The 13,594-nt window shown below is 44.9% G+C and overlaps 1 annotated feature.

The window, feature by feature from the left end:
- Window positions 6,070–6,199: an enhancer, noted in NCBI's record as "active region_3510". NCBI's record gives its function as "activates an Ori minimal core promoter by ATAC-STARR-seq in GM12878 lymphoblastoid cells {active_cell/tissue: GM12878}" and the evidence as "EXISTENCE:reporter gene assay evidence [ECO:0000049][PMID:35858748]".

Genomic DNA, 13,594 nt, shown 5'->3' on the forward strand with positions numbered 1-13,594 from the left:
CAAAAAAAAAAAAAAAAAAAAAAATCCTGTCATTTGTGACAACATGAGTGAACCTGGGGAACACTATCCTGAGTGAAATAAGCCAGGCACAAAAAGACAAGTATCACATGATCTCATATGTGGAGTCTAAAAAAATCCAACTCAGAGTAACATGGTGGTTACCAGAGGCTGGGGTGGAATGGGGTGAGGTTGGGGAGATGTTGGTCAAAGTTCACAGCATTTCGGTTAGAGTAAGTTCAAGGGATCTATTGTATATCATGCTTACTACAGTTGATAACAATGTTGTGTATTTGAAAATTGCAGAGAGAAGATTTTAAGTGTTCTCGTAACTTGGTAGCTATGTGTCACCAAATGATAAGTATGTGAGGTAAGGTGTATGTTAAATATCTTGACTTAGCCACTTCACAACGTATATATACCTCAAGACATCCTTTTGTACACCGTAAACATATACAACTTAGCAGCTCATTTTAAGAAAGTACCATTTAGTCTGATCTTTCCTCTGTGTTAATCTAAACTAGTGATTTTTTTTTTTTTTCGATGAAATCTTTTTCTGTCGCCCAGGCTGGAGTCCAGTGGCGCGATCTTGGCTCGCTGCAACCTCCACCTCCTGGGTTCAAGCGATTCTCCGGCCTCAGCCTCCCAAGCAGCTGGGATTTTAGGCACGCATCACCACACCCAGCTAATTTTTGTATTTTTAATAGAGACAAGGTTTCGCCATGTTGGCCAGACTGGTCTCAAACTCCTGACCTCAGGTGATCCACCTGCTTTGGCCTCCCAAAGTGCTGGGATTACAGGTGTCAGCCACTGCGCCTGGCCACTAGTGATGTTTTGATACATTCTTTGTTATGTCTCTTTCTTAAATACCAGTACATATTGCTGAATTATAATATTAAAAAACGAGTTAATATACATGCAACCTTTAGGACAGTGCCTGACAGTGCCTGTGAGTATACAATCAGTTTTAGCTGACTTTGCCCAGTCTCTCTCTCCAAGCCCTGTGGGTGCTCAGAAGGAGTCCCCCATTGATCTACATGTGTGGTCACTGTCATGTGGCATCCTCATTGCTTCCAGGACTTCAGACATCCCTGACCCTACCCCCACCCCCATTTCAGGTGCCCAGGCTGTGCCGTGTCAGGCGGGACTTGACCTTGGGTCTGTGCCTACTTTTAACCAAGGATTTGGCCAGGTCCCTGGTTAAGCCTCCACCCTGTCTTCCCTGCTGCCCTGGTGGAGACCCGGTACCCCAGGCTAGCAGCCTTGATATGCCTGGCTCCCACTCCCTTAAGACATGTTCTCTCCTGGAAGCCCCTCAATCTTCTGGGGGTCCTGTCACACCAGTTTGCCCAGACTAGGCGGGCCTTAGCTGGGTCCACCTGGGACGTGCACCCCTTAGTGTCGTGATGACTGCCCTTAGTGTTCTGTGTATAAGGGGACATGTGCAAGGGGGAGGTCTGTGCATGTCAGCTGTGGGCAGTGATGCAGCAGATCACTGCAAAATTGGGCATCTACACAGACCAGGCACCATGCCAGGCACCAGGGAGCTGTGGACGGGGACAGCCTGCCTTCCAGGAGCTGGTGGCACTGCAAGGACAAGAGAGAATGAACAAATCATTTTCGCCAGGTGTCGTGAGAGCTAGGGTGGGGCAGGGTTTGGAGAACAGTGGCGGTGTGATAGGCCAGAACCAGCCAGGACGCCACTTGCCTCTCTTCTGGAGCTTCTAGAACAAGGAACCAGTGATGTTGTGGACCCAGGGGGAGCCAGGGGGCCTGTGGTGTCGGGTGGGACCACCGCACCCCGGAAACCATATAGCACTGATGGTCTGAGCTCTTCTTAATCTCTGCACCCTCTCTCCCATCCTTTAGCCAGACTTGAGATCTGGCCAGACCCTGAGAAGGGCCCATCCACAAAGGGCCTTTGGTTTCTCTACTTGTCACAAGAACTGGTTTTGGATGAACAGAAAGAATGAAGCCGCCCACCGGCCATCGCCTGCCTGGTCCTTTCTTGTGGTGTTCAGTGCGGAAACCTCAAATTGTATCTGCAGAATTGGCACGCATGTATTGTAACTGGTTTTCTCTTACAAAAAGCTGTTCGTCTTTTATTCACACAAGTACAGTGTAACCATCCACTAGTTGTGAAAATTCAACCAGTATCTTTATCTCCCTCCCTGTTCTCATTCCTACTCCCTGGGCTCTGGTTTTAAAAGGTATCACTGAGACCCGTGCAGCCCCGTGGGTGGTTGGGCCTTTCTCCTCTCTGTGCTGTCCCTGGCTGTGTGACATCCCCGCCTGCTTCTCTGGCCACCTAGTACTGTGTGCTACACACACCCCTTTCTGCTCAGCCAGCAAGCGTGGTTTCAGCATCCATCCATACAGTGAAGCAGTTCAAAAGAGCTTGGGTAAATCACACTGCCTCTCTGAGACACAATGTCCTCAATTGTAAGTGGGATTAAAATGCTTATTTTGGGCCGGACGTGGTGGCTCACGCCTGTAATCCCAGCACTTTGGGAGGCCGAGGTGAGTGAATCACCTGAGGTCAAGAGTTCGAGACCAGCCTGGATAACATGGTGAAACCCCATCTCTACTAAAACTACAAAAATTAACTGGGCATGGTGGTGGGTGCCTGTAATCCTTGCTACTCGGGAGATTGAGGCAGGAGAATCACTTGAACCTGGGAGGCGGAGGTTGCAGCTAGCCGAGATCACGCCACTGCACTCCAGCCTGTGAGACAGAGTGAGATGCCATCTCAAAAAAAAAAAAAAAAAAAAGAAAAAGAAAAAAGTGCTTATTTTGTAGGGTAAGTGGAAGGATCAGAGTTAATGGCCATGAAGTTCCTATTGCTGGGCCTTACACACAGCAGGTACTCACTGCAAGAATTGTCTTGTTCTGTAGAGTATGTTATTAGGAGCCCTGGAGCAGAAGAGTCCATCTGAGGAGTATCTGAGTTAGTGGTATGGAAGTGACATTACTCATGAGTGATGGCAGGGGGTCAGGGGCAGAGGGCACCACTGGCTCTCGGAATGCAGCACCTCAGCTTGGGTGTCCTCTGGCACTAGAGGAGCCAGTAAGAGGCATGAAGGCATTTCTTAGTATTTCTTGGGGGAAGCCATGCAGAATTCTCTAAAGATGAGAGCAGAGGTGGGGTTGGTGGGCCAGGGAGAGTCGTTGGGAAGGACTAACTTGGTTTCCCAGAGGAAGCCAACAGCGGGAGAACCCTTGGCACATCGGCCCTGGGAGAGTGTAGCAGGAATTTCCATAAATGTGTTCGGTTGGGTTAGGGCAGACAGCCTGGCTTCCAGAAAACCTGCCTGCTTTGCATTGCCCAGTACAGCAGGTTTGGGACAGGAAGCTCCAGAGTGACTTTAATTCTAGAGCCTGCTGGGGACCTTGGCCAGTCACTGCCTTCTCTGGGTGGCGTCCCTTCCTTGGCAATAGCAGACTGATCCTTCCCCCTCTTGCCTCTACGTAGCCTGAGGGAAAAGGAGAAAAAGCACTTCTCCCTCTCCACCTTGGCCTAAAGGAGGGCAGGGCAGATGCCAGGGTCTGTTGCGCACTGACTGCGTGCTGAGGCCTGCACTAAGTTCTTTACACACAACATTGAAAATGGGCTAATTCCATCAGGTCTACCTGCCCTGCTTGCTTTGGGTTGCTTTTTTAATTCTCCCCCTCCCAAGCTTTTTCTATGAAGCTGAAGGCTGTGGTAGCTGAAGGCCTCACCGCTGAACACTGGAACTTAACCTTCACTGGCTACTTTATAGATAACATTCATAGGTCACCATGGTAATATTCACTTCAGTGTTTTTCAGGAACTTGGCCAGCGCCTGTCTAGTTCAAACTAGCTGAGACCCCGATCCTTCACCCTAGACTGCCCAAGTGCCCAAGGGGTGGCCTTTTGAAGTCAGAGGGCCGACGACAACACCCTCAGATCATGCAAATGCCACCATTTTTGTTGCATGTGCCCTGTGAAGTGCCGTGAAGCCTGACTACCCTTGCTCAGGAGGAACCTGTCACTTCATTTTTTTCCCACTGCCAATCACCTGTCCCCATGATTTAGATCATCCCACTTCCCTTACCTGTAAATATCCTTAAGCCTTATCCTCAAGGGTCGGGTGGGGGTGGTTTTGAGAGCTGTTCTCCCACCTCCTCATGTATTGCCCTTGCAAATCTTTCTCTTTTGCAAAACCCATGTCATCATGATTTATTCACTGTGCAGAGGCAGAATGAACCTGGACCTAGCCAATCTTACTTAACAATTTTTGTATTTTCAGTAGAGGTGGGTTTTCACCATGTTGGCCAGGCTGGTCTTGAACTCCTGACCTCAAATAATCCATCCAGCTCAGCCTCCCAAAGTGCTGGGATTACAGGCGTATGCCACCGCGCCCAGCCCATTTGATGAGTTTTTACAAATGCATACACCTGTGTAATTCAAACCTCTAACAGGATATATAGACTTGCATTGGGGTTTTTAATGTTAAAACTTACAACAATACTTCAAATAATGTCTTCAAACACAAATCTTTGTACAGGTAATAATTAGACTCCTTTGGGTGACATATTTCAGAAAACAGCCCCAGCTAGCTTAAGCAAAGAGGGAGAGTGTAAAAAATATGACTCCATGGTACGGTGGCTCACACCTGTAATCCCAGCAATTTGAGAGGCTGAGGTGGGTGGATCATGAGGTCAGGAGTTCAAGATCAACCTGGCCAAGATGGTGAAACCCTGTCTCCACTAAAAATATAAAAATTAGTGCCAGGCACCTGTAATCCCAGCTACTCGGGAGGCTGAGGCAGCAGAGGTTGCAGTGAGCCAAGATCGCGCCACTGCACTCCAGCCTGGGTGAAAGAGAGAGACTCTATCTCAAAAAAAAAAAAAAAAAAAATATATATATATATATATATATATATGTGTATATATATATATATATGTATATATATATATGTATATATATGTGTATATATATATGTATATATATGTGTATATATATATGTATATATATATGTGTGTGTATATATATATATATGTGTGTGTATATATATATATATGTGTGTGTGTATATATATATATATATATATATATATGACCAGCAGAGGACCATGGCAGGAATGCAGCAGGGACTGGGACTAGGAGGCTGCCCGGGGAGTCCTGGAAGCTCCCTCTGTGTCCTCCATAGGGGTGCACCACTCACTTCTCCCCTCAGGACAACCTGCTGCTGCTGCAGAGAGAACAGTTGGACCACCTTCCAGCAATTGCACCTCTGGATCCAACACAGTGTTCGTGCCAAGGCCTTGCTCCCCCATCCAGCACACTCCACCCACAGGCTGCTGACTGAGCAGGGCAGGGATATAGAGCTGGCTGTGTCTGCCCCTCCATCCTGCAGCGAGGCTGGGAGCCTCCCCATTGGTCTGACCAAGAGTTGCCCAGAGCTATCCTGCAGTGTCAGGCTTGTTGTGTCTACTGAGGAAAGATGAGGTTCATACACATTTGGAAAGGAGAGCTTTATTTCTCATAAAGGGTTGCAACCTGCTGGGTGGTCATTCTGACAGGCTGGGAAACGTAGCCTCTGGCCAGAAGCCAGAAACAGACACTTCGAAGGTGGGGAGAATAAGACAGGGATTTACGCTGAATAGGGTGTCCAGATATACATATTCAACAGGTTATAGGAGCAGCAATGAATATTCACAAAGGGGAGGCAAGGGCATTCGTAGTAGGGTAACATGTATGTAACACGTGTCCCAGATTCACTTTGGGGTGGAGACTTAACATTTAAACATATTACAGTTAGGCCCTCTACATTAAAACGGGAAGCAGAGGACACGAAGGCCCTCTGGGTGCAGCTTCTGGAGACTGGCCAGAACCACTCTGTGGCCAGGGTTTTTTTTTTTTTTTATCAGGAGGGACTGCTTAGCGGTTGCTGTGTCAAGCTGCAAAAGGGGAGGGGCTGTGTTAGGCAGTTGGTTGGTACCAGCGTGAAGCAGTGGTTTCTGTTTAACCCTTAGAGAAGAAAGCCTAATGGTTAGGGGGGGAGGGGGCATAATGAGGCCTGTCCAACCTCCTGTTCCATCATGTCCGGGAACTCCATTTTTAAGGTTTCTCGGGGGTCCCCTAGGCCAAGAGGTGGTCCATTTGGTCAGTTGAGGGGCTTAGGATTTTATTTCTCTGGCTCTTTCCCTCTCTCTTTTTGTGGGTATTAGAGCCACACTGTGGTTTGAAGGCCCTTCCTGTTGCCTTCTGTTTCCTCCTTTGTTCTTCACAGGTGTTTCGCCAAATAGCTTTCTTGCACAGACTTGAACAACCCACCCTCTGCCTTGTCTCAGCCTCTCTGGGCACCTGCTTTGTCTCTGAAGGCCGGCACTGCTGTGGCACTGCTTGGTGAAAATGACCACCCTGGTTTCCAGCTTCACATGGTACAGTTCCAGCAGACTAAGAGCTGGTTCTTGCCCTGCCCTATGCTGCCATCTCAAGAGAGGGGGCAGGTCCTGTCCACGATGGTGGTCATGGGTCAGGGAACTGTTGCTTAATCTTCCCTGTGGATGGAGGAGGCTGTAGCCATCTGGGTTGGTGCCTCCAAATCTGTGGATGGAAGTGCAAACCTCTGGTTATCTCCTAAACAAAGGGAAGCTTCATTTTGAAGGCTTTCCATGTGTACCTTCAGTTTGTCCTTTAGAAATGCCCTGTTTCAGAGTCTCAGATAGCAGTGAGTGGGCATGCTCTTTCCCAGCCTTGCTAGCACTGCCCACAGTTTTATGACTCAGAATGGAATCTCATATTTGTTCAATTTTATTTCTTTTTAACTAATAGTGAAGTTGGATTTTTTTCATGTGTTTTGGCCATTTTTTTTTCTGTTATGAATTGTTTATGTCCTTTGCTGACTTTTTTGTTTGGGCGTTTGTCTTCCTTCCTTTCCTTCTTTCTTTCTTTCTCTCTCTTTCTCTCCTTCCTTCCTCTCTCTTTCTTTCTTTCATTCATTCTTTCTTTCTTTTTGTTCTTCTTTCTTCCTTTTCTTTCTTTCTTTTCTTTCCTTCCTTCCTTCTTTCATTGTTTCCTTCCTTCTTTCCTCCTCTTTTTCTTTCTTTCATTCTTTCTCTTCCTTTTTTCTTTTTGTTCTTTCTTCTTTCTTCCTTTTCTTTCTTTCTTTCCTTCCTTCTTTCTTTCTTTTCTTTCTTTCATTCTTTCCTTCCTTCCTTCCTCTTTCTTTCTCTTTCTCTTTCTCCTTCTCTTTCCCTCACTCCCTCCCTTCCTCGCTTCCTTCCTCGCTTCCTTCCTCTCTCCCTCCCTCTCTCTCTTTCTCTCTTTCTTTCTTTCTTTCTTTCTTTCTTTCTTTCTTTCTTTCTTTCTTTCTCTCTCTCTCTTTTTCTTTCTTTCTCTCTCTCTCTTTTTCTTTCTTTCTGCCTTTCTCCTTTTCTTCTCCCTTTCTCCCTTTCTCTTTCTTTTCTTTTCTTTTTCTTTTTTAAATTCTATGCTGCTTCTGGGTCAGGGTCTTACTTTATCACCCAGGCTAGAGTGCAGTGGTGCAATCATAACTCACTGCACCCTCGACCTCCTAGGCTCAAGTGATTCTCCCACCTCAGCCTCCAGAGCTGGAACTATAGGCATATGCCACCACACTCGGCTAATTTTTGAATTTTCTTTTTTTTGTAGAGATGGGGTCTCACTATGTTGGCCAGGCTTGTCTTGAACTTCTGGGCTCAAGTGATTCTCCCACCTCAGTCTCCCAAAGTGTTGGGATTACAGGGTGAGCCACCACACTTGACCCCTTTCCTATTGATTTGTTAAGATGATAACTTTATCATATATGTTGCATTTATTTTTTAGCTTTAAAATACCATTAGATATACATGCTGTCTTAGAGCCTGTCCTCTCCATTCCTGTGTGTCTCAGTCTATGCTGGAGCTGACCTAGCTTCAGATCAATAACCTTTGCTTATTTTATGATGTCCTTTATTAGATTACTTACTTTGTCAAGCATTATATCTGGTTTCTTTTACAGTCATCATCTCGTTCAACCCTCCAACAATACCACAAGGTGTTATTTTACAGCTAGAGATACCCGTGTCTGATGCCAAATCCTTGCTTGTTTCAGGGCTGGATATGGTAATCCTCTCTGCCATTTTCGATGACAGGTTGAGAGGAGAGAAAGGTAGATCCTGGAAGAGTGCCCAGGCTGGGGTGACTCGGGGAGGAGACTAAGGGGAAAGCATGATGACTTTGAAAGCCCTCCGTCAAATTCTTGTGGTTCTCTGACTTGATGTTATTTAAACCCCTGTGTACTTTCAAGAGGTTCCCCTCTACAGCCACAAGAATGGGAAATGGCTTGTGTTCTCTGAGTCACACTGGTAGATTATCTATGGGCCTTCTGAGTTTCACTTTGCACCCCCTCTTGGCTATTCTTTCCTTTTCCCACATCCGCCCACCTCACCATCAACAAACCTGCACAGTGTCTTTGCCCTTCAAAAGTAATTGTTATTCTTTCTTTGAACTAAATGACGGCATCTAAGCTGAATTAAACACTCATAGCCTTTCACAGTTTATGAAAGTATCCATTTCCCCATTCCTGCCTTAACATTTGAGGTCGCCAATCCTTTTAATTTTTGCCAATCTGATAAGAAAGAAAGTCTTTTATTTTTACCTTAACTCGACTTTTCCAGATTAGTAATGAGGTTGGAACATCCTTTCATATGTTTACTGGCCATTTGAATTTATTCTGTTATGTATATGCCCATTTTTCTGCTAGATTGTCTTTTTTTAATTAACAGGCATAAAATTTTAATATAATTTGTTTTGTGGGTAGGTAGATAGATATACAGTCAGTTCTTTCTCCCAGTTTGTCTCAGGTCTTGTAACGTTTTTAGTGTATTTTTTCATAGAGAAGTTGTTCAATTTATACATGGTGTGTTTTTTGACTTGTGTAAGCAAGCCTTCCCTACCCAAGGTTCTAGATCTCTTTCCTATGTTTTCTTTGAATATTTCTACAGTGTTGTCTTTTATGTTTAATGCTTTAATTCATCTGGAATAAACTTTTGTGAATGACATGAGATAGTGTATTTTTTTTTTCCAAAATGGATATCCAGTTGGCCCACATTTATTATTATTTGTTATTATTATTTTAGAGATGGGATCTTGCTATGTTGCTCAGGCTGGTGTTGACCTCTTGGCCTCAAGCAGTCCTCCTGCCTCAGCCTCCCAAGTAGCTGGGACCACAGGCATGTGCCACTGCACCAGGCTGGCCTACATTATTTATGGAATAGCCACATTTCCCCCTTACTGGAACTATGGTTTTCATCATATGTGAAGTAAGCACTTATACCTGAGTCCATAGAGTAGACACGGGGTTGTTGTTGCTCCTGGCCTCCATTCATCCTTCTGGTAACCATGTCTGATTTTCCCCATCCCCAGCAGGAACAAGAACCAAGGCTTGAGCCAATTTGTGCATCTCATTGTCCTGGCACTGCCATTGGCCCAGGGCTGGCCATGTGACTCAGCCGGCCAATTACACCCAATCAGAGCTTATCCCTGGCATTTTTCTGAGTGACTGGAAGAGTGTTAACTATTCTTGTGGAACTTAAAAGGGAGAGGCCAGACGTGGCTACAGTTGTCACACAGCCACAAGGTGAAAACAAATATGAAAATGAAACCAACACACCAAGGCCAGTGGAATTGAGCTGAGGCAACTGCTGTTGCCCTTTAGCTGCTGTACCCCATCATGTCTAGAGCCAGGTTACCCCTATGCCCACAAAACTTTTAACTGACAACCCAGATCCTTTTGTGCTTAAGTGAGCTGGGTTGGGTTTTCTGTCATTGCAAGGCAGACATATTCTATATGTGTACTCTAGTCTCTCCATTGATTTTTTTCGAGGTCTTCTCAAGTTCTTGTTCTTTCTCCCTTCCTCCTTCTGTCTCCCATCCTCATTCTCTCCTTCTTTCATTCATTCTTTCTTTTTCATTCTTCTATACTTCTGGAGTGTTCCAGTGTACTTTCATTTCCAAATGGATTTTAGAACCAGCATATGGACTTCTATTTAAAAATCTCATTGGTATTTTGATTGAAATTACATTTAATTTATTGACTAATTTAGGGAGAATGGGCGCTTTTATAATATTGTGTGTTCCCATTAAGGAATATGTTTTTTCCCTATGTTTATTAAGGTTCTTTTGTGTCTTTTAATAATAAAAGTTATTAACACTCCTCTTTTAAGTCATACCTACTTCTCATGAAATTTATTCATGGTTTATTTTTTGAAATTATGGTTTTTTTTCTATTACAGTTTCTGATTGACTAATTAATGCTCATGCGGGAAAAAATAAATATTTCTTTTTGTTTGAATTTGGCCATATTCTTGAACTCACTTAATAACTAAGTTTTCTGATTGATTAGTGCTCATGTAGGAAAAAATAAATATTTCCTTTTGTTTGAATTTGGCCATATTCTTGAACCCACTTAATAACTAAGTTTTTAAAAACTTGTCTTGGATTTTGGAGATAGATGATGGTATTATCTGCAAATAATAACTATTTAATTTCTTTCTAATATGTATAATTAGTATTTCTTTTTCTTGTCTTTTGTTATAAAGGCTAGACCTTCCTGAACAATATTTGGAATAGTGACCATTTTTATACTTTCTAAGTCTAATGGGAATATTTCACCACTAACTGTAATTTTTGATCTAGGTTTCAAGTAGGCGCATTTGTCAAATTAAAGAAATTTTCTTTTATTACTGGTTTGCAGATTTTAAAAAATTATAAATTGATTTTTAATTTTAAAAATGTTTTCTTGACATCTATTGAGGTGGTCATATATTTTCTCCTTTAATATGTTAATTTTAAAAAGTACATTAGCAGATTTTCCAATGTTGACTGATCCTTTGCATTCTTTTTTTTTTTTTTTGAGATGGAGTCTCACTTTGTCACCCAGGCTGGAGTACAGTGGTGTGATCTTGACTCACTGCAACCTCTGCCTCCTGGGTTAAAGCTATTCTCCTGCCTCAGCCTCTCTAGTAGCTGGGACTACAGGTGTCTGCCACCACGCCTGGTTAATTTTTGTATTTTTAGTAGAAACAGGGTTTCACCATGTTAGCCAGACTGGTCTCAAACTCCTGACCTCAGGTGATCTGCCCGCCTTAGCCTCCCCAAGTGCTGGGATTATTGGCATGAGCCATTGCGCCCGGCCTACATTCTTAAATGTTTATTACTACGTCATGGTGTTGTCTTCTTTTATCATATTGCTGAAACTAAATTTCTAATATTTTATTTAGGATATTTGTGACTATGTTTATGAGTGTTTTTTTTCCACCATGTTATGCTTTTTAATTTTGTTGTCAGGGTTATGATAGTTTTATACATGTGTTAGGTAGTTTTGTCTTTTTCAACATTTTGGAATAGTTCATATAACTTGTGGATCATCTGTGGCTTGAAGTTTTCATAGAACTCTTAATATTGGACTGGTCTTTTTTTAGGTGTGAATTTTTCATAAAGTTTTTTTCTTCTATGTTTATTAGTCTTTTTGGGCTTCTTACTTTCCCTTTGGTCAGTTTTGGTAAAATGGCAACATTTTCTTAGAGTAACACATAGATAGCAATCTTTTTCAAGATTTTTGAGCCAGGAGTGGTGGCTCACACCTGTAATCCCAGCATTTTGGGAGGCTGAGGGAGGAGGATCACTTGAGGTCAGCAGTTCAAAACCAGCCTGGCCAACATGGTGAAACCCCATCTCTACTAAAAATACAAAAATTAGCCAGTCGTGGTGGTGCATACTTGTAGTTCCAGCTACTCAGGAGGCTGAGGCAGGAGAATTGCTTGAACTCAGGAGGCAGAGGTTGCAGTGAGCTGAGATTGCGCCACTGCACTCCAGCCTGGGCAATGGAGTGAGACTCCGTGTCAAAAAAAAAAAAAAGGTTTTCAGCGAAGTGTGGTGGCTCATGCCTGTAATCCCAGAACTTTGGGATGCCAAGGTGGGAGAAGTGCTTGAGACTATGAGCTCAAGACCAGCCTGAGCAACATAGCCAACACTCCCCTTCTACACCCCAACCCCCAGAGTGGTGGCTCTCACCTGTAGTCTTAGCTACTCAAGGGGCTGAGGTGGGAGGATCACTTGAGCCCAGGAGTTCAAGGCTACAGTAAGCTACGATTGCACCACTGCACTCCAACCTGGGCAACAGAATGAGACCCTGTCTCCAGAAAAAAAAAACGCAAAATGCCTCCTCTGCATCTGTATTTTTGTCCCCATTCTCAATTTTAATGTTTATGAATATTTTACATATTTTTTTCTTGGTCACCTTTGCCTATTTTATTGTCTCTTTATTATTATTATTATTTTAAATTTTTAGATGAAGTAGCTTTAAGACACTACACTGTCCTTATTTTGCTCACTTTGCCCATGACTGGCGACACGTCAATGTGCCCAGCATTTGGAAGCCTTGCTCGAAACTGAGAACTAGCTGCTTAGGCTTCTGTCCTGGCAGCTCTGGTGAGTTCTCCCCAAAAAGACGTGTCCTGGGACTGCCTGGGCATGGGTTCTGTTGGATCCCTGGGTGGCATTTCCATTGAGGTGGCTGCCTATGGGTGTTTTCTAGGCTTGCAAGACGGGAATGAACTTGGGTGTGTTTGTACTTCCCATGGGGAGGTTATGTCATTGCTCTTTCGGCTAAATTTACAAGGGTTTTGAGAAAGAATTTAAAGCACACAGGCTCTGAGTGACCAAAGCATCCTGCTGCTTCCAACCCCTTGGGAGGGAAGCCCTGGGTGGTGGGGGATTAGGGGAGGCGTGGAAGCCCTGGGTAGGTGGGGGATTAGGGGAGGCGTGGAAGCCCTGGGTGGTGGGGGATTAGGGGAGGCGTGGAAGCCCTGGGTAGGTGGGTACATCTAAGTCCTAGGTGCTGGAGGGGTCCATGGAACTCCTGTGCGGGGAGGGTGCCGTGGAGTTCCTGGGGGGAAGGCTGTGGCCATGCGAGATGACACTACCCCCTTGCAGTTGCCTAGGTCCCTCCCTCCCTCCCTGCCTGCCTTCGGTACCAGGCTGTTGCAGTGGGACCAGGCCCTTGGACTGCCCTCTGCCCCCACCTCTTTCCCGGGTGGCTGACGTTCTCCCACTGTCTCTTTCACTGAGGTCAGGCAAGGTCATAGCTTCATAAAGAGATTTTCCAGGGAAGATTTTAGGCAGGGGAAAGTTGGCCCCTGCTGGAGCAGGTCTCTTGGCGAGAGGTGAGAACAGCCACAAGCACAGAAGCCATTTGCAGACGGACGGGTGTGTCTCTGTGTCCCCATGGCACCGTACACAGGAGAGTCCGTGAGTGTTTCCTGAGTGAATCGCTCCACTCTCCCGGCCTCAATCCCTTCATCTCTAAAATAGAATTGATAATGCTTTCCCCCCAGACACCCCTCAGCACGGGCAGGATTTCCCAGCCGTCAGAGGAGGTAGGGCAGGACAGGCGTCAACCCAGAAGCAGAGGCCTTTCCAGTGTGGCTCTGAGAAAGCCTAGAGCTGCTTTTACATTAGGGCCTCCTACATGTGAGCACATGTGTGATCTCAACTGCTTTCACTGGTAATGTGCCCAGGCTGCACACGAGTAGCTGGGGACTCAGAGGGGAAGCTACTTGCTGAAG

The sequence above is a fragment of the Homo sapiens genome, chromosome 10 (assembly GCF_000001405.40).
Source record: "Homo sapiens chromosome 10, GRCh38.p14 Primary Assembly".
Lineage (NCBI taxonomy): Eukaryota > Metazoa > Chordata > Mammalia > Primates > Hominidae > Homo > Homo sapiens.